Source organism: Homo sapiens, chromosome 15, assembly GCF_000001405.40.
Source record: "Homo sapiens chromosome 15, GRCh38.p14 Primary Assembly".
Taxonomy (NCBI): domain Eukaryota; kingdom Metazoa; phylum Chordata; class Mammalia; order Primates; family Hominidae; genus Homo; species Homo sapiens.
The window spans coordinates 33,551,384-33,572,691 of NC_000015.10; the positions used below are offsets into that span (position 1 = coordinate 33,551,384).

General features: G+C 39.9%; 1 protein-coding gene across 20 annotated transcripts in view, besides 1 other annotated feature; it reads left to right on the plus strand.

Annotated features, from left to right (window-relative positions):
- RYR3 (ryanodine receptor 3) overlaps window positions 1–21,308 on the plus strand; it is a 555,136-nt gene that overhangs the window by 240,417 nt on the left and 293,411 nt on the right. For all 20 annotated transcript variants that reach the window (XR_001751370.2, XR_001751371.3, NM_001036.6 and 17 more), the window contains 2 exons: window positions 11,454–11,627; window positions 15,295–15,416. Coding sequence is in view for 18 of the 20 variants with exons in the window: in NM_001036.6 (NP_001027.3) it covers window positions 11,454–11,627; window positions 15,295–15,416 (296 nt within the window). In the remaining 2 variants the exon portion in view is untranslated. The remainder of the gene's footprint in view (window positions 1–11,453; window positions 11,628–15,294; window positions 15,417–21,308) is intronic.
- Window positions 7,823–8,613: an enhancer, noted in NCBI's record as "OCT4-NANOG-H3K27ac-H3K4me1 hESC enhancer chr15:33851407-33852197 (GRCh37/hg19 assembly coordinates)". NCBI's record gives its function as "activates a minimal SCP1, AML or CMV promoter by ChIP-STARR-seq in naive H9 embryonic stem cells {active_cell/tissue: H9 hESC(naive)}" and the evidence as "EXISTENCE:reporter gene assay evidence [ECO:0000049][PMID:30033119]".

Sequence of the window (21,308 nt, forward strand, 5' to 3'; positions counted from 1 at the left end):
GTGTGAGGCTGACAGCTGAATTTTCTGTGGGGCATCTCTGCTTCCTAATGCACCTGAAGAAGATAGTCAGCACTGTCCCCTTCTTTGGTGCAGGGGTTCGGAGTCTGTTTTCTCCCTCATTTTGTGCTCCTGTGGTCTTTTTAGGCAGAGAAACTCTTTGGCATGTAGTTTTTTCTCTTTAATATTGCCCTATATCAGAATTGGGCTTTTTTCATATCTTTATTTCAAATATTAAAAGACATGAGCTTCCTGTTCACATCTTCCTAACCGTCTCTCAAATGTCATCTTCCTTCTGCTTCTCTTCCAATGGCTATTGACTCTGATTTCATTCTGGTTTTCTGAGCATATCTTCCTCACTTTGCTATCATTTTTTTTTAGATTCCCAGCACAAGAGGGATTCTTTAAATTCAAATTTATATCTATTTAGTGAATATTTTTGCCTCCAGGAAGTGATTTAGAGCAGTGCAACTTTCTGAAAGATTCAGTGAAACAAAGCAACAGGAAAGTCGTAAGAACAGAGACTGGGACATGGAGTGGGAGCTGAAGGTGGGCGGCAGTAGAAGAGGGAGGTGGAAAATAAGAAATGACTCATCGTGGCTAATGACCAAGCAAGTGTTTTCCTAAGAATGCCAGTTTGGCCCTTTCCTTATTTGAGCCTTCTACCCCCTTTCTCCTTGACCCACTCGGGATATGCTGCCAGGGTTAGAGCAATGACCTCGAGGTCTTTACCATTTCAAAAAGGGGCTTTTCTTCCAGCACAGGATCAGGCGGCCTTCCAGGCAGCTGGCAGGATCCTGTTCCAAGGGGACTCTTCCATTATATTCCATTCTTGGCTCAGCCTTGTGGAGCATGGGTCAGCACTGTGCTGTGGTCTCTGGGGGAAGCAAGGAAAGCTCAGAGCCCCATAGAGACCTTGTAACACTCCTTCCACTTGGCATCACTTCTGGCCTCTGAATACATTTCCCTTCAAAGGGTCCATTGCTCATCTCCCCAAGTTCCTCCATTTCCACGTATGGAGAAGCAAGCAGCGCATGGGTGGAAAGTCGTCATGGTACCACGGGGGCCATCGGCATAGCAGAGCTGGGGGCAAAAGTCACCCATGAGTCACATTGTCCTGTGCACTTGGCAATGTGGTTACATTTCACTGGAGTCACTATGCTAGAGATTTTAAATAAGTCTCCATGCGGTAGTATTCAACCTAGCTACCTTCATTTCAATTTGAAAGGAACTGAAATTAAAATGGCTTAGGCTCTATGGCAGGCCAAGATATGGCTGTGTTCCCACTGGATGTCAGGGTTTCTTTGGGACGTTGTGTGGGCAGGGCTTTGGCACCTTAGACTGTGAAGCTGCACAATAAGGAAGAGCATGTGGAGAACACATAACTGTCATACACCATCCAAATAACTGTGGGGGAAGGGCGGTAGAAAGGCCCTGATTTTCCTGGGCTTCCATGTGCCTGCTTAGTAAGCATATTCTTGCCTTGCTTGGCACGGGCTTTCCTTAAATGCATTCTCTGTGCTTCCCCTCCCTGGGCGCTAGTGACAATACCCAGCAGAAAGAGGTTTGGGGCTCTGTTTCTCAACAATGTAAGGGCACTGAATCATCTCGCCAGCCCTTGCCTGCTACAGGTGTTATGTGACAGAGTAGGTGGCAAATGGTAGCCTGAGATAGCGGTTCAGGATCTGTGTGGTGGCATAGGAGTTGGGAAGGCTGAGGGAGTGGTGGAGACAGTCATCTGTTTTCTATGGGACTGGGGCAGAGGGCGAGGAAGCAGGGTATTCATCTGATCCTTTCCATATGTTGGAGAATCTGAAAAAGGAGAAAAAGAGGCTCTTGGGAAGAGCACTGCTGGGGCTTTAGTCATGTGTTTTGGGAGGACACTGGGTGTGCTGGGCCGTGAGTCATTTGGTAATGACGAGCTTCCCAGTCCACATTTTCTGTCAGGTTGCATTAGCTTGTGACAGTTATGACTACTAAATTAGGGGCCACTGGACAGCTGCAGGTGCGTGCTAACATCCTTAGCAGCCTGCCATTAGCAGGAAGATGGCAGGTGCCCCAGTGCATCTTGTATGTGCATAAGATGGAGGTGTGATTGAGCCTTGCTGAAAGGTGACCAAGTCCAAGAACCAACCAGCTGCAGTTATTGGCCGGGCCTGGCTCAAATGGAATCAGACTGAAGACTTTGAGCAGGCTATACAAATCACATAGAATAAGGAGCAAGGAGCAGGATGTGATCTTGATCAAGGTCCTCCTTCCCCCAACTTCAGCAGCTGATGCAACTCAAATTGGAGAGCTAGGATGTAGTATTACTTCCAAAATACAGCATCCCAGCCTTATCCCTTTGATCTGAGAGTGGTGTTGTGTAAGACAAAGCCTGGCTTCAAAGTTAGCCTAGATCGGGCCTTGATTCTCATCTGCTCTCTGTGAGACCTGGAACACAATTCTTCATCAATTTGCACCTCATTTGAAGTCTGTCATAAAAGATCATTCAGACCTGACTGCTGCCTGCCCTTCCATTGCGTCTCTTGCCACTTGCCTGAGGTTGCCTTGAGCTCCGGCATACTATTTATCAGTCTTGGAACATATTTGTTTTTTTCTAACCACCACCAAACTTGTGCCTGAACGCCTTTTGCCCCTCTGCACTCTACCACAGTGAGCGCCTTCTCATGCTTTCAGGCGAGTGTCAAGTGCTCTTTGTGAGAGGAAAACCTGCTCATGCATTATTAAGGCCATCACTTCCTTGACTGGGAGGCCCTGGATGACAAGGACCACACATACCCCACCCTGCTTTATTTTTGCATCCCAGAACGTCTTGTAGTAAGTTTGAAAAATGCTTGCTGAAGGGTTACATCAGTGTGGTCATACCTTGAAATAGAGTGAAATCCATTTCATTCTAACCTCCATTATCTTTTTTTTTTTTTTTTTTTTTGAGGTGGAGTCTCGTTCTGTTGCCCAGGCTGGAGGTACAGTGGTGCGATCTCGACTCACTGCAAGCTCCGCCTCCCGGCTTCACGCCATTCTCCTGCCTCAGCCTCCCGAGTAGCTGGGACTACAGGCACCCACCACCACACCGGGCTAATTTTTTTGTATTTTTAGTAGAGACGGGGTTTCACTATGTTAGCCAGGACGGTCTCGATCTCCTGACCTCGTGATCCGCCCGCCTCGGCCTCCCAAAGTGCTGGGATTACAGGCGTGAGCCACTGTGCCTGGCCAACCTCCATTATCTTTACAGAAACATCCTGCCATCCTTGTGTAATCATTTTGCTACTGTAATCTCTTCCCAGTACACACCCAATGAGAGAGATTCATTTTATTTTGAACATCTAAGTCAAATTTCTATGAACTTGATTTCACATCATTTTTCCATGGTCTTGACATTGCAAGGCCATTCCCACAAGGATTTCAGATAATGTGATTTAATATTTACTCCTGCACGGCAGTATTGTCTGTTTAGATGTCATGACTCAATGTCAGTTTACAGCATTGAATTTTTTTCAGGGAAGGGTGAATTAATAATGTTAAAGCAGGCCATATATATAGCCGCTTTTTGTAAAGCCACTTTAGAAGTGCTTTAAATAGCCACTTTAAATGACTACACCATACATCTTGAATGATTGGGATAGATTCTCGAATGTTGCCTATTTCATAGTGTAAGGGTATAGAGCTATCACTGTTCCCAATTAGAGGAAATTTTTTCTCACAGTATAAAAACATTAAATTCAGTTTAGTAAACATTTGTGAAACATCTATGTGCTAAGCATGGTGTTCTTGGCCAAATGTGACTTCCCTGCCTACGTTTCACATGCCCTTTAACCTTTGCAGCCACAGCACCCCTAACCAAGGTGACAGCTGTGCTCATGGTGCACCTGTCTCTGAAACTCTGGTGCAGAAACAGCGCTGTTTTTGCCAGTCCCCTTGCTTGCTCCGTTTTCTCACCAAGTTATCCACTGGGGAAAGGGAGGGTATGGAGCAAAGGAGGGAAGGGGAAAGAGGAAAATACGGATAGTAAGATTCAAATGCCTGAAGACAACATCACTTACTGCAGCTTCATTTTAAATAAAATCTACAAAGGATTTTTAAACTTTAAGTTGATGTGCTTTCTCTAGTGTTTATTGTTCAAAGTGGACCAAATAGAGAGTCAGTCAAGGAAAACCTTGGGCTTCGAAGTGGAAGAAGCCTGGGTTTGAACCCTGGCTCTGCCATATGCTGTTCATATGTTTTGTAAAAAATAGAGATTTAAAAAAAAGTATGTCTTGAATGATAGCTGTGAAAATTAAATGAGACCAGGAAGATGACCTGGTAGTTTTCTTATCCATAAAATGGAAGTAGTGCTGCTTATCTCAAGGTGGTGGTGCAAGGGTTAAATGAGAAATACGGAGAAAAGAGCCCAGTACAGTGACTTCTGCTGAAGAAATATGCCTTCCCCAATAAGGCAGATGAATCTGCTTCCCAGCATGTAGTAAACAGAGGAAGGCGTTCCTCCTCTTCCCACACAAAGCTTGAGGCCAGCTAGACTCTTATCAATGTCCTGTAGTGTGTGGTTTTTAAGGGCAATACGAAGATCTCAAATTCTAGATGAGAAAGTCTTAAGGGGGCTGTATTGATATAGAAATAAACCCAAAGGTGATTCCTCAAGGTTTCTCCAGAGACACGTGGAAATAGTGGGCTAACCAGGAGTTTCTTGAAGGCTCACCCCAGCATCCATGAATGGGCTCCACCTTCCCATATCTACTTTTCCTCTGAAACATTTCAGGGTGCCTACAGTCCTGTATTGTAAAAGGTACTTTCTTGTCATCTGTAAACACAGGTGGCTTAATTGTATTAAATAACACATTTCACTCTAATTAATAAGCATCAATTAGAAGCTACTCCATTCCACATATCATCCTAGATACTGATGGCGTAACTTACAACTCAACCATCTCCAGCCATGTTTCTTTTCAGCCCATCATTCACATTGATGCCAGAATGGTTATTCTAAGATGCAACTCTGTGTTTCAGTGGCTTTCCATTACTTACACTAGCTTTTCCCAAGAGGCATTCCAAACAATGATAATAGTGGGAGGAAATAAACAAAATGCTGCATTAGAGTTCAAAAGGTCATTTTGATGTTTTCATTGATGCTGATGTTTTGTTTTTACCACAGGACTAACAAGAGCTTATACGATCATGATATTCCCTTTGACTCTTAGAAGAAGATTCAGTATTTGTCCACAGTCATATTTTTCCCACACGAAGTCTGTTAACAATATGAGCTTGAGAAACATGAACCTGTAGAATAGAGTTCAGAGTCCTTAATTTTTGCTCTCATCTCTTTCTGGATTCCAGCATTCTTCTTGCCGTGCGGTGCCCCTTTTACTAGAAAGCCAATCCCTTCCTCATTGCCCTTCACTCCTCTCTCCCCTGGCTGCACTCACATCAGGTAGAAATTCTTGTATAAAACCATCCCTAACTCCCCGGTAGAGTTGTTTTTTTTCCCCAAACTCCAATTGTACTCTGAATATAGACCATACCACCTTGCTGTGCTTGTTGATTTATATGTATAACTCAAAATTTGTATGAACCTAAAGCCATTTTCTAATAGTAGTATATGTTTTCAACTTTTTCTTCATGTTAACCTTTAAGCAACTAAACTATTGGTACAATTCATTAGTTAACTGTGCTACTGGTAATGGTAACCATTCAGATATTCTGTTCAAGTGAATTATACCTGGCTTTGGAATTGTACCTGATTTTGGATTATGTTCTATTACTTACAACTATGTGGCTTTGAGCAAGTTGCTCAAACTCTGCAAGCCTCAGTGTTATCTATAAAGTAGGATAATACAAGCCATAGGGCCATTGAAAGATTTAGAGGAAATGTAAAGTGTCATGTGTGATACATACCACTTTGTGGGTCCCTGGTGAATTCGCGTGATGGCATTTTCATTGTAAAGTACTTAGCGCAATACCTAGTTTGAACCAGACCGGGGCAACTATTGGTTCTAGTTTCTCTATTTTTTATTTTTTATTGATTTTTTGAGACGGAGTCTCGCTCAATTGCCAGGCTGGAGTGCAGTGGCGCGATCTTGGCTCACTGCAACCTCCGACTCCCTGGTTCAAGCAATTCTTCTGCCTCGGCTTCCTGAGTAGCTGGGATTACAGGCACGTACCAACGCACCCAGCTAATTTTTGTATTTTTAGTAGAGATGGGGTTTCACCATGTTGGCCGGGATGGTCTTGATCTCCTGACTCCATGACCCACCCACCTCGGCCTCCCAAAGTGCTGGGATTACAGGCATGAGCCACCATGCCCGGCCGGGTTCTAATTCCTTTCTTCATCCTTCCAGGAATATTAAACCAATCTTGGCAACTTGATCATCTCCAGCCAAACATTTAATATTCCAGGAATATTAAACCAGTCGTAGCAATTTGATCATCTCAGCCAAATACTAATATGACAATTATGACGTGGTCATGAGCATTTCCTTAATAAGCTGTCATTGGAGGCAGAGGATAATGATTACTGCCCTTCAACACATAGTAGGCCAGATAACCTCTTCCTTCTTAGAATCAGCTTATCATCTAACATAAACAAGGTTGATGCAGATAAACAGATACAGATTGAATGCCTGCAGAACAATAAAACAATAAATGATTTGCAACCAGTTTTAAGCATCGTATGAAATGCAAAGAAATCCCAGTTTTTTTTCTGAGAACATTCTTTTTTAAATTTATTTGTTTTTTATTATACTTTAAGTTCTAGGGTACATGTGCACAATGTGCAGGTTTGTTACATATGTATACACTTGCTATGTTGGTGTGCTGCACCCATTAACTAGTCATTTGCATTAGGTATATCTCCTAATGCTATCCCTCCCCCATCCCCCCACCCCACAACAGGCCCCGGTGTGTGATGTTCCCCTTCCTGTGTCCAGGTGTTCTCATTGTTCAATTCCCACCTATGAGTGAGAACATGCGGTGTTTGGTTTTTTGTCCTTGCAATAGTTTGCTGAAGAATGATGGTTTCCAGCTTCATCCATGTCCCTACAAAGGACATGAACTCATCATTTTTTATGGCTGCATAGTATTCCATGGTGTATATGTGCCACATTTTCTTAATCCAGTCTATCATTGTTGGACATTTGGGTTGGTTCCAAGTCTTTGCTATTGTGAGTAGTGCCGCAATAAACATACGTGTGCATGTGTCTTTATAGCAGGATGGTTTATATTCCTTTGGTATTGTGGAAGACAGTGTGGCGATTCCTCAGGGATCTAGAACTAGAAATACCATTTGACCCAGAAATCCCAGTTTTACACCTTTGGCATTTTCAATCTGGCAGGGGGCAGCTAGTATACCAACAACAAGACATGTTTTTAAAATGTAGATTTTATTATTCAGGTATGATGAAGCCAATAAATCAGGAGACAATCAGCATTGAAAAAGAACACTTGTTACTCACAGTTCCCAAGAGGAATGGACACGCCATACCACACAGGGCCACATAGAGAAGTGCCATCCTCCAGGAGGCAGAGAGAGTGAGGGGAAGCTGGGGGAAAGCCTTTTCGTGGTTTCCATAGAAAGGGATGGGCTGGCTAGGCAGGATAAATGGGCATAGGGTTGTCTACTTTGAATAATTTCAGCAGGCTCTGGAGCATGGGAGTTGCTATTAGTTGTCTGGTACCGGCCCTGGGGAGATTAGTCTAGGGGAATGGGGGTCCAGAGGGTAAAGGAGGAGGTTGGCTTTATGCGCTTTGAGTTGGTTTGCATATAAAAGGTGAGTCTTGGGTTTGCATACCCAGATGAGTCCTTGACCATTTTAGGAATTGGCTAGCCCTGGAAAGGACAGTCCGTTCAGGGTCCACAAAACCATGAGATCAGAGAATGTGTACAGGTATCCTCCAGCTTTGGCTAAGTAGAGAAGGCTTGATGGATGAGATGTTGTGCAATGTTCCTTTATGTGATCATCAGTCAGGTGCAGCCATGTGAGGAGACACAGGAGAGGCTTAGGAAAACAAAGTTTATTATACTCACAGGTCCTAGCAACAGGAGACGTGCCACACCATGCAGGGTCACATAGGAAAGCACCAGCTTTGGTCAGGAGGCAGACAAGGGGCAGAAGCAAGGTGACAGCCTACACTACCACTTTTGTTGGGGTTTCCATGGTTAAGGCAAGGCAAGGCTGGGGTAAACAGTTTGGGATTTGCTAGTTTGAGTGATTTCAGGGGGCTGTAAGCTATAGAGGTGGTCCTTATCTGCCTAGTACCTGGCCTTGGGAAGGCAGAGGAATATTGCCTCCTGGAATGTATGAGCCAGCTAGAGGAGGTCTGGCTGTGAATTGATTAGATTGCATATCAAAGGCATGCAGCTGAGCCCTTTGCTGCCTCTAACAAGAAGGGCAGTCTCTCTCCAGCCAGAAAGGTTTTAAAAATACTGAAATACTGTAATATACAGAAGATACGAAATATAAACAATACAGATGTAGAGATGCCAAGGTGAGGCTGGGGAATTCCAAACAGAAAGTGTAATGTCAGTAAAGGCCCAGAGAAGGGGAATATTTGGTAAATAAATAGAAGTACTCTTAGTCCAATTTTGTTAGAGCATTTGGGATATAAGAACTTTAGAGATAATAATTGTATTCCATAGGAACTTGGGAGTTATTGAAAGAGAATGATTGGATTAGCTCTATTTTTTAGAAAGTTTCCATTTCTAGCAGTAGGGTGACTGCAGCTGGGACCATATTCAAGTAAAAACAGAAGGGAGCATTAGTTCATACTCAAGTCAAAAGAAAATCACCAATGTGCTGTCAATAAAATCAAGCCTCTCTATCACCGAGCTCTTTAATTTCCTTTACTGATTCATCATTATTGTTTAGGGTTGCATTGGGTTGTTTTTCATATGGATTTTGTCTCTAGATCTTTGTTTGTTGTTGCTGCTGTTCTATTACATTAGAAGTGCCCACTGCAGTGACTGCCGTAGAATTTGGAAGCCGATGCTGTTTTGTAAAAACAAAGACACAGAAACACTCCTTTCTATACAGAATAATGATTCATTTATTTCAGTAATTCCAGAAAAACAGATCTTTGTATTTTTTTTTTGCAAAGCCATGTTTAAATAAGTGAAAGGCAAGAAAGTAATGAAGTTACCGTATTCATTGATAGTTGGATAATATGAATTATTTTAATCAGGAGCTATTAGAAATCAATGTAATTATTCATGTTTAACAGTTGTGGTGTGCATAATTTTTAAGCACTGCATTAGCTATGGTTAGAGAGCAGATTAGAGATGAGAATTTTCGCATCTTTTCAGTCCTGTTACTGGCTTGAGTGTCTCTAGAGCTATGAATATTTCTGCAGTGAAAATCAAGTATCCATTGTTTTATAGGATAAATGCATTCTTGATGAATTGCCTATAAAGAAAATCTCATCTATCAAATACTATTTTCCTATTAGCTAATGTTATAAAATCAGAAATATGTTTTTCTGGAAATAATCTTTTTAAAAAAGAAAAATTCATACTTATCCTTGGATGTTATGTTGCTGCTTGAAAAAAATAAGTCATATTTAATAATCCAGCCAATGTTTCAACACACACATTTAAAAGAAAAAGAAATTTCTTGTAAAGTACTAATATTGCTCCAAGTGATCCTTTAAATGCTGTGCGAAATAATTTTGTTTTTATGAAAGCTTGAAGGAAAATAAGAGTTGAAATGAAAAATAAATGTGAAAGAAAAATTACTCAGCTCTATATATTCTCTCAATATATGTCTATTAAGTAATTGATAGGTGTTGAACTTTCTGTTATAAATCCAAAGTTAATTGAAATTTGGCCTGTGCCCTTGATTTTTTTCATAGCCTGACAAAAAGAAAATGTCGTATAGACAAACACATTTTACATTATGATGTGCTAAGTGCCCAATAAAGCAATTAGACTGTGCTGGGGAAGAACAGCAGGAGAGACTAACTCTTCCTTTACAGAGGTAACCTCTGAGCAGGGTTTTGAAGGGTGAGTAGTAGTTTAGAGTAGGAGAAGAGTGCAGACTCTGGAGCTGGACTTCCTGGTTTAAATCCTGTCATTACTTCCTGAATGATCTTGGGCAAATTTACCTCCTTCATTTTCTCCTCTGTAAAATTGGAATGGCATTTGTAGCTACATCAGAGGCTACTATGGAGAGTTAATCCACGTAAAGAACTTAGAACATTGTACTGAGCATGGTAATGACGCAATACATATGCTGCTATTTGTTCCACTATTAAGAATGAGAAGAATGTGGGGGTCGAGGTGGGTGGATTGCTTGAGCCTGGGAGTTCAAGATCAGCCTGGGCAACATGGGGAAACCCTGTCTCTGCAAAACACAAAACAACAACAACAACAAAAATACAAAAGATTAGCCAGGTGCAGTGGCCTGCACCTGGAGTCCTAGCTACTTGGGAGGGTAAGGTGGGAGGATCACTTGAGCCTGGGGGCAGAGGTTGCAGTGAGCCAAGATTGTACCACTGTCCTCCAGCCTGGGTGACAGAGTGAGACCCTGGGCTCAAAAAGAAAAAAAAAAAAGAGAGAGAAATGTTTTTGCAAATAGGCAACAGCCGTTTTTTATTCTGTGAAAGTTCAAATTGCTGCCTGCTTAATGGCTTTTACAAATGAGCAATTTAATGCAAGATGTAGACAAGAAATGGAAATAGGGTATAACCATTCAGAATAGAACCACGGAGGCCCTGATTGATGAGGAGGGGAAGAAGTTACCATGCATCAGAGGTCTACCTCATGACACGCTATTGTGACAGGTACTTCAGATTGTCACTGAGTTGTTACCTGGTGCACAGGAAGTCCCTTTTCCACACTGGAGAATAGGCAATGAAACAGTGACAACTGAAGAATGAAACCGCTTGACTACAACACACCACTGAGGAGGCCCTAAGAGACTGATACACAAATTACTACATTAGCTTAAGCCACGGTATTAACCCCTGCGTATTCAAAGGGTCTCCTTTCTCTGCAGGTTTTTATAAGAAATTTTTACATGAAATCAATAGATATGATGAAAGCCTCTGAGTCAGTGCATTTGTGACAGATAACCATTACAATTATGGAAGATGTCACTCGCTGGAAATAAGTTAATTGGCTAGTAACAGATTACTTATTAAGTTATATAAATCAGGATGAGGAAAGTAGAAAATATAGTGAAGAATTACACAAAATCAGAACAGAAGAGAAGAGCTTACTAGGTGTCCCCTTTTCCCGTGGATTTAAATAATCACTGAAGTAACCAGAACTCGAAAGCCATTGATTTTACAATTAACAAGCGATAAGGGAAACAAGTCTTTCTGAAATCCTGGCTTGGACAGGCACATCATGATTATTTTGGTAACCAGTTGCCTGGCTTACAGGTTCTTCATAGGTGATTCGTTTTGTATATTGAGCTTCTAATTTAATCAGCTATGCCTATGTTTGTTTCTTTTTGTGTATGAATTAGGAACTCAAGGAGAAATTAGACTCCAGTCACAAGCGAGACATAGAAGGCATGGGAGTTCCAGAAATCAAGTATGGAGATTCTGTCTGCTTTGTGCAGCATATAGCCAGTGGTCTGTGGGTGACCTACAAAGCACAAGACGCCAAAACTTCCCGCCTGGGACCTCTAAAAAGAAAGGTGAGAGTCAGAATATCTGTCTACAATTGTTTTACCCTGAGTTGGAAGCAACTAGGCAATAGAAGTGATTCTGAGAACCAGGTGGACATGATTGTGATTTACTTCTTACTATTCAGAAGAGTTATTTTGTGATGGATTGTACACAGTTTCTCCAAAACTTCAGCCTAATTTGGATACTTTGACCCCATGTTCAATGGGGGAAAAAACAAATACACAGCAAATCTGTGAGGAAGAGGTGATGTATTTAATGTACTCTAAAGCCTGATCTAAATGACTTTTGGTGATGTGCTGTCTTGGGATTATCCACATCATTGCTGCCTTCATTTCAGTGGATAATTGAGTTATTGTGCAGTTTTCATAATAGACTAAATAGATCTCTACAGAGAAAATGCAGATTGCATAATAACAAGCCCGCAGGAACCCACTGGCAGAAAGAAGGGATGTTGTGGAATGACACTGTATCCACAGAGTGTATCTTGATTTGAGTGGTGCATCACAGCCTGCTCCAGCGAGAAAAACTAGCTTGGGTGCATGCAGCATCTATTTACCAGAAAGTCAATTGCCGTAACAGTGTTTCTTTTGGTGGGAACCAAATAATGGATGTCAAAGATGTGATGCTTTTATTCCTGAAATACCCTTATAAAATATGGGTTTAAATAGTCAACTAGTCCCAGAATAAGGTGCTAGGAGGCACTGTGCTCTGTAGTTGAGGTATAGCAGCCTAAGGTAGTCATGATGAACAGTTTTCCAGAATGCAGGTTATGATAAGAAAGGATGTTGAGAATGAACATAAGGTAATACCTTATTACCTTAAGGCAACACAGACTAGGAAAATATCCAGAAAAGGGGAAATGAAATGATCAAGAGGGGATAGAAAATACAATAAATAAGAGACCACATAATCTGGCTTGTATGAGACCAACCCTTCTTCTGAAAACAACCGCAAAGGCTGGATACAGTACCTTCAAAAAAAATGGAAGGTTTCAACAACCAAGCCACCCAAAACATAAGCACAAAATATTGCACATAGAACGTAAGTGCACTAAGGTGAGCCCACCTTGATCTTTGTTTTCTCCTTCAGCACATTTGCTGATTTGCAGAACTAGGGCATGGGATCTTGCATTAGCTCAGTTGTGCTAAAGAGTCAGATTGGACATAGGTTCAGCCAGGGCTTCTGGGACTCGAGGTGCCAAGAGTCCAGAGTAGAGAGAACTGCAAAAACATGAGCCTAAAATTCTACATGCCGTTTCCTCTAGAATCCTAAGCTGACCGTGGATGGGGTGTGAAGCCAAAATAGTAAAGCGAAACTGCTGTGATAATGAAGAGCAAAGCAGAGATGTTGACATTATGAGAGTACTAGGGATATACAAGTCAGGGTTCGGGGTATGACAAGTTGGAATTGCCCTGGAAAATACAGTAGGCTTTCCGTTGATCTTTAGAAGAGCTACACCCTGGGAATGAGGGCTGCACGCTGGGAATAAGAACAAATCAAAAATAAATGCCACAAACCCATCCTCTATTCTTACCAGCCTATCAGAAGAAACTTAAATCCTCTATAGAGTGCAGTAATACCATCTAGAGCCTCTACAGTTTTTCAAACCTACTAAGGCAATGGCAGCATTTAAAGAAAGTGGAATTTGTGGATCTTGGCTGTAACTCTGGGTGGGCAGGAACACACTCCAAGGACTCTGTAAATGTGGAGAGATCTCATTTTGCATTGTTGACTTACTGTGCCTGGCCATGCCTTCTCTTCTAGGACCATAGCCCGCAGATTCATTTAACTGTTAGAATGTATGTGTGAATTTGGGAGGTGCTTTTATAAACTCTCTCCAGCTGGTGTGATGGTGCTCAGCCCTTGACAGGGCTACACTGCTTCATTTCCTAAGAAGCATGTTAAGTGCCCTCTCTAAAAATACAAAGGATGTCTAAATCTGTTATGTTTTATGAAATGAACAAAACAGTAATCAAGAAAAACCAATCGAGCACAAACAGAATGAAACACCTGATGAGTACCCACTTTAAAGCACCCTCTTTCCTATTCCTATCTTAGGCTTCTTGTCCCTGCTCTTCAGTTGTAAGATTTCTCGCAGAGAAGGAAGGACCTTAGGAACTGGCTGCTGAGATCAGTAGGGTTCATAACAACATTCTAACAACTGCATTTCCCCCAGCCAGTTTTAAATGTGTTATCTGAGCAAGCAAAACCTAAGAATTTCGGTCTTTAAGGACCAGAAATCTGGGACCCAGGCCAAAGTAAACATAGTGGCAATGTATTGCTAAACCCAAATGCAACATTGCTAACCAGTTGCTCAGATGTTCTCACAAAGTAATATTTTCTAACAGTTAGTGATTCCAATGGTAACAGTATCCTTTGCTGATGCTTACACTGCAGTATATAGATGGGATGCAAAGTCTTGTTTCAAAAATGAACAAGCCGGTATTCTATTTCATCATATCAGGAAGTACCTTCAAAATAATAAAAAGGAAGAGATGTTTCACATGGAAAGGAAAGTAAGTTGTTTCTTTATGCTAAAAATGAGAGAGACCAACAATCTTTATTCTATAGATATTTTCTAGAGCCACATGTTTTGTCTATGTTGACATGTAGACTTCCAGGATCTACACTTTGTCTCTCTTTGCTTGCTTCCATCAAGAGGAAACCATGCCAGTGAACTTGGATCAGGATTTGACCTTGACTTGAACCAGGATCAAACTAACCTTGACTTGAACCAGGATCAAACTACCTCACTTAACATCTTCACATACTTGATCATTTTAAGGGAAAAAGCCCCTGACCTCCACACAAAAAGCTGGTAGTCCCAAAAAAATTGTGTCATGATATCCTTAGTGACAAGTAGATACTCTTAGCTTCCAGACAACTGATCCAAGATCAGTACTATACTGCCTCTGATAACAAACACTCATTGAGCACCTATTAGATTCTAGGTGCCATGCCAATTCCCTACATGTAAATCATTGAATCTTCCAACCCTCTAAGATAAGTCTATTTGCAGATGGTGAAATCCAAAGCAAATGGGGTTAACTAACTTGCCCAAGGTCACACGGCTGGTAAGTGGCATAGCAGGACTAGACAAAGGTCTGCTGATATCAGAGCCCATGCTTTCAAATTTACTCTCTAGCCTCCAAGAGAAGCCAGCTACCACCTTGAGCTGCTTTCCCCAGCCCTGCAATTAACTAACTCAGTGTAGTTGGCCTTCAGTTGAGAAACCAAGCCTAATCCCAGTACAGAATTTTGCTTTAAATTGTCTGTCTTTTTCTTCAATTCATCTCTGGAGGAAAAGGCTTTGAACACAGTGACTTTTCCCATTTCCAAGGGTAAGATTCTATGTTCATTTTAAGAGGAAAATCAATCATGAGGTATGTTATCGCCCTTTCAAATCTAGGCCTGAGGAATATGTGGTAACTCATACCATGGTGGCACATAAAGTTTCATTTTCATCAAAGCGCTGTGTCTAAGGAATGATTCACATGTCACTAATAGGGCGTATGGGTGCAATAGCTTCGCTAATGTCCCATTCTCAAAATGGACCCAAGAGAGCTTATTTGGAGAAAGGAATAAGAGGGATGAGGGCAATACTGCGGGAAATGTTGACTGCCCATATGTGGAATAATTGTAACCTAGAGCTCCCGTCCCTTGCCCTGTGGGTAGGTCATACTCCATCAGGAAGGCCACATGGATGATGGATTAACACTGCAGAGATGCCAGCGTGAGGAGTCCCAGGCTGCTCGGATCATCCGGAACACTACAGCCTTATTCAGCCAGTTTGTCAGGTATGTTAGCTCCTTTCCTCCTCTACCTAGTGAGTTTGACTCTGTGGCCTGCCAACACCACCACCCACCTCCTTTTGATACTGTGAATGTTTTCAGGAAATAATGATACACCAGCAAAGAGTTTTACCATCAAGAGCTTGAGACTGAAACATATTTCCTACATAGGCGAACTCCTACTAGCTTCACCCTTTGTTCAACAGATGCCCAAGCCCCATTAGTTACTCAGATTGGAGTGATGAATATCCAAGATCTTTGCATGAAAATTAAGTGAAAAGAGTTGGAGTGCATAGGTCCATTTTATGTTTGTGTGTAAAGAGAGAAAGAGCAAAGAGGAACTGATACACTCCCCCATGTGTTATGTAGAAAGGGTTTCTACAATCATTCAGAATTGCTGCTATGGTTTGGATCAAAGTAACTTCTCACTGGAAGCCTTGGGTTACCCAACTGTGGCTGTGGCTTAAATGGGAAAATTAACGGAACTGTCTGCTTGGATCATAATCCCTCCAGTCTAAATAATGCTTCCAAAACAGAACTCTGTGAATTGTTTTCACCAATTACCATGAGAAACTGATTCTGTTGTGAACTGTGCAGTGTTCCAAGACCATTCTTCTCTTGTAGGAAAATCTCTCTAAAGCCAAGGGGTATAAATTACGTGTGTGAATTTGCATGAAATGGTAACTTTTTTTCAGATCTTGACTTCTCTTGCTGTTGAAGGACTGCAGTCCAAGGGATGTGTATTAGGAAATAGAATAGGCTGCTGTTGCAGTTCAGAGTAAACTTGTACTTCTTGTTTAAGTAATAATATAAAGTAGGTAGGTGGTTTAGGGAAAATAGGTGGCCTAGCTACTAGGGCTCAGGTTCCTTCCATCTTGCTGCTCTGACATCTCCCACAGATTCTTAAAGTTCATCCCTGGACCAGAGCATCAGCATCACTTGCAAACTTGTTAAAAATGCAGATTCTTAGGTTTTACCTCAAACCCACTGAATCAGATACCCTCAGAATAAGATCCAGCAACTCATATTGTTATAGGCCCTCCAGGTAATGCTGATGCATGCTAAAATTTAAACTTGACAATAGAGATCTTAACCTTGGCCACATGCTAGATTTATCTGGGGAGGTTTTAATACCCTGATGCCCAGGCTACATCTTAAACCAATTGCATCAGAATCTGCAGATGTTGGATTCAAATGCCAGTATTTTATTGAAGCTCCCTAGGTGATTGTAACATCAACCTCAGTTGAGAACTGCTATCCTGGGATGTTTTTTCATTCACATGGCCAAAATGTCCAGAATAGATCAATCTGTAGAGGAAAAAAGTAGAGGCAGAAGTGGAAAGAGTTACCTAGGGCTGGGGTGTCTTGGGGGAAAGGGAGAGTGACTGCTACTGTGTAAAGCTTTTTGGAGAGCTGATGAAAACATTCTGAAACTGATCATGACAAAGGTTGCACAACTCTGAATATTCCAAAAGCTAGTGAACCATTGAATTGTGCTCTTTAAATAGGTTACTGTATGATATGTGAACTGTATTTCAATAAAGTTGTTATTTTAAAAAGTCAGTGGGAGTTATGTGCCTGACAATGGGAAAATTATTTTTAAACATCTTTATTGAGGTAGAATTTACATATTACAAAATTCATCCTTTTAAATGTACAGTTCCGTGAGACTTTATTTTTTGTTTTTTTTTTGTTTGAGATAGGGTCTCACTGCGGCCTTTCTGCCATCCAAGCTCAAGCAATCCTCCCACCTTAGCCTCTTGAGTAGCTGTGACCACACATAAATACCATTAGACCTGGCTAATTTTTTAATTTTTTGTAGAGATGGGGCCTCACTGTGTTGCCCAGGCTGGTCTCAAATTGCTGGGCACAAGTGATCCTCTCACCTCAGCCTCCCAAAATGTTGGCATTATAGGCATGAGCCACCATCCCTGGCCAATTCAGTAAGTTTTAATATATTTATTTGCAGAGCCTTACAACCATCACTGCAGTTCAGTTTTAGAACATTTCCATCACTCCAAAAATATCTCCTATGCTCATTGCAGTTTATTCTAGTTGCCACCCACAGCCCTAGGCAACCACTAATCTGCTTTCTGTCTCAATTTAATACATTAAATTAATAAATCATAAAATATGTTGTCTTTTGAATCTGGCCTTTTCACTTAGCATTATATTTTTGAAGTTTATTCATTTGTTTCCTCACCTTTTTATTGGTGAAGAGTATTCTTGTGTGTGTGTGTGCGTGTATGTGTGTGTAGAGTGAAAGATCTATATAGATAGAGATGCACACATAACACATTTTACTCATTTAGTTGATGAACAGTTGATAGTTTCCATTTTGATTACTAAGAACAATGTTTCTATGGATATTAGTGTAAAAGTTTTCAGATATGGTTTCCATTTCTCTTGGGTAAATACTTAGGAGTGAAATTGCTGAGTCACATATAAATTTGTATAACTTTTTGTTGTATTTTTATTGTGGTAAAATATACATCACATAAAACTTATCGTTTTAGCCATTTTTAGTTTCAGTGTCATCACTACTATCCATCTCCACATGTTTTTATCATCCCAAACTGAAACTCTGTATTTATTAAACAAGAACTCCCTATTCTCCTGTCCCTCAGCCCCTTATAACTTCTACTTACTCTCTGCTTCTATGAGTTTATTCTCAGTACCTCATATAAGTGGAAGCACACAATATTTGTCCTTTTGTGTCTGGCTTATCTCACTTAGCAAAATATCTTCAAGGTTTGTCCATGTTGTAACATGTAACATTTCATTCCTTTTTAAGGTTGAATAATATTCCATTCTATATAAATACCATGTTTTGTTTATTCAATTGGGTATGTTTCACTTTTTAAGAAACTGAAAATCTGTTTTCCAAAGTGGATGTAACATTTTACATTTCTCTTAGAAATGTCTGAAGTTTCTGTTTTGTTACATCTTTTCCTACATTTGTTACTATCTGACTTTTTGATTGTAGCCATACTAGTAGCTATGAAGTAGTATTATCGTGGTGGTTTCAGTTTGAATTTCCAGAATGAATAATGATACTGGACATTTTATCATGTGCTTATTAGCCATTCATGTATCTTCTTTGGTAAAATGTAATTAAGTATTTTGCCTTTTTAAGTTGGGTCATTTGTCTTAAAATTTGAGAGTTCTTTGTACCTTCTGATTACAATTTTTTTGCCATATTTATGATTTGCAAATATTTTCTCTTGGTCTTTGGCTTTTCTCATTTTTTTTAAATGGTGTCTTTTGAAGCACAAACGTTTTAATTTTTGATTAAGTTCAGTTTAACATATTTATGGATTCTGCTTTTGGTGTCATATCTAAGAACTCTTTACCTTACTCAAAATCATCATGATTTTCTCCTCTGTGTTTTTCTAAAAGTTTCAAAATTTTAGCGTTTACATTTAGGTCCGTGATCTATTTTGAGTCTATTTCTGTGCATAGTATGAGGTAAAGGTTTAAATTAATATTTTTGCGTGTGGCCATATGGATATCAGATTTTCCCCTGCACAGTTTTCTGGAAAGAGAATATTTCCCCATCAAGTTACCTTGGCACCTTTGTCAAAAGCCAAGTGATCATAAATATAAGAGTTCTTTCTGGACGCTTAGTTCTGTTCCATTGATCTATATGCCTGTCATTATTCCAAAATGACACTGTCTTAATTAATGTGCCTTTATAGTAAGTATTGAAATCATGTACAGTGAATGCTCCAATTTTTTACTTCTTTGCAAAATTTATTTTGGTGCTTCTGGGTCCTTTGTATTCCCATGTAAATTTTAGAGTGAGTTTATTAATTTTTGTCCAAAAAAAATTCTGCTGGAATTTTGATGGGTATTAAATTGAATCTAGAGATCAGTTTTGGAGGACTGTTATCCTCATTAAGTCTTCCAATCTTCAAACATAAAATGTCTATTTATTTTTTAATTATTTTCAGGAAGATATTGTGGTTTTTATTATATAAGTCTTGCACTTCTTTTATGAAATGTATTCCTATGTATTTGATTCTTTTTGGTGCTACTACAAATATAATTATTTTTTTGATTTCATTTCAGATTATTTTCTGGTATATAGAAATTAAGTTTTAAAAATACTGATCTTATGTCATTGACCTAATTGAAATTATTTATTAGTTCAGTGGGCTTTTTGGGGAGCAGGTGGATTCTTTAGAACTTTTTACATACAGGATTATGTCATCTGTGAATAAAAAGAGCTTTATTTTTTTCTTTCCAATAGGGATGCCCTTTATTTATTTTTCTTGCATTATTGCACTGGCTGGAACATCCACTACAATGTGGAATAAAAGTGATGTGAACAGACATTCTTGTCTTGTTCCTGATCTAAGGTGGGGGTGGGGACAGGGTGGGAAACACCAATTTTTCACCGTTAAGTGCGATATTGACTGTAGGGTTTTTGTAGATACCCTTTATCAGGTCGAGGAAGTTCCCTTCTATTCCTGGTTTGTTGAGAGCTTTTATCTTGAATGAGCATTAGATTTTTTCAAATGCTTTTTCTTGGTCTATCGATATGATCATATAGTTTTGTCCTTTGTTAATATGGTTTATTACATTAACTGGTGGAGAATCGGGTATTGATGTTTCTGTTACTGTTGAATTGTCATCTTCTACTTCAATTCCATCAGTTTTTGCTTCACATATTTTGGTTTCTGTTGTTAGGTGCTTATATGTTTATAATAGATATATATTTCTGATAAATTTGCCCTTTTGTAATTTTAAACTATTTTTCTTTTTTCTTTATGAACAGTTTTGTCTTAAGTCTACTTCATAGAGCCATTCCAGGTGTCTTGAATGTGCAGATTATGTTTTTTGTTTGTATGGCATATTGTCTTCAATCTTTGTACTTTTAACTTATTTGTGTCCTTGAATATAAAGTGTGTCCCTTGTAGACAACACATATTTGATTTTTTAAAATAGTCTGACAATCTCTCCCTTTCATTGGTATGCTTCATCCATTTATATCTAATGTAATTATTTAGATAACTGGATTTATGTCTGCCACTTTGCTATTTATTTCTTATGTTTCTTTTGTTATTTTTTGGTCCTCTATTCCTCCCTTACTACCTTTTTTTGTGTTAAATAGATATTCTCTAGTGTAACATTTTAATTAATTTGGGTTTTTAAAAATACTTTTTTGAGGAGTTATTCTCTTAGTGGTTGCTCTAGGGAACTTAATATATATTTAACTTGAAATAATCCACTTCAAATTAATACTAACTTAACAAAGCAACTTTGCATTAACATTTTTCCATTCTTTGCCTACTCCTTTGTGATAATATTGCCACATATATTATATCTTCATAAGTTATAAGCTCAGCAACGCAGTTTTATAATTATTTTATGAAGTTGTTTTTTGAATAAATTACAGGAACATAAAAGAAAGATACATGTTTTTATATTGTTTCTGGTATTTACCTGCATAGTTACCTTTACCAGTATTCTTTATTTCTTTGCATGGATTCCAGTTACTGTTTGGTGTCATTTTCTTTCAGCCTGAAGGACTTCCCTTAGTATTTCTTACAAGACAAGCCTGTGACTATTTGCTGATGGACCTGTGTGTGTGGGCTGAATGACAGTTCGAGGTTCAGGCAGTTTAGAGTTCTATCCTGGATTTTGTCTTCTGCTTGTGCGGGAATGAATAGATAGCTAGGGTCCTCTCCAGTTTTTCCCGAGCATGTGTGTGGCCTTGCCCACTGCCTACTCTGCCCTGTTGGAGCTGTTTTGCCATGAGGCGGTGGGGGGAGGGAGATGGAAGCATCAACAGGCTGAAACACCATAGACTCCAACTGTTCTTCCTAAGGCTCATTAAATTAAAAAAAAAAAACTATATATACACACACACACACACACACACACACACACACT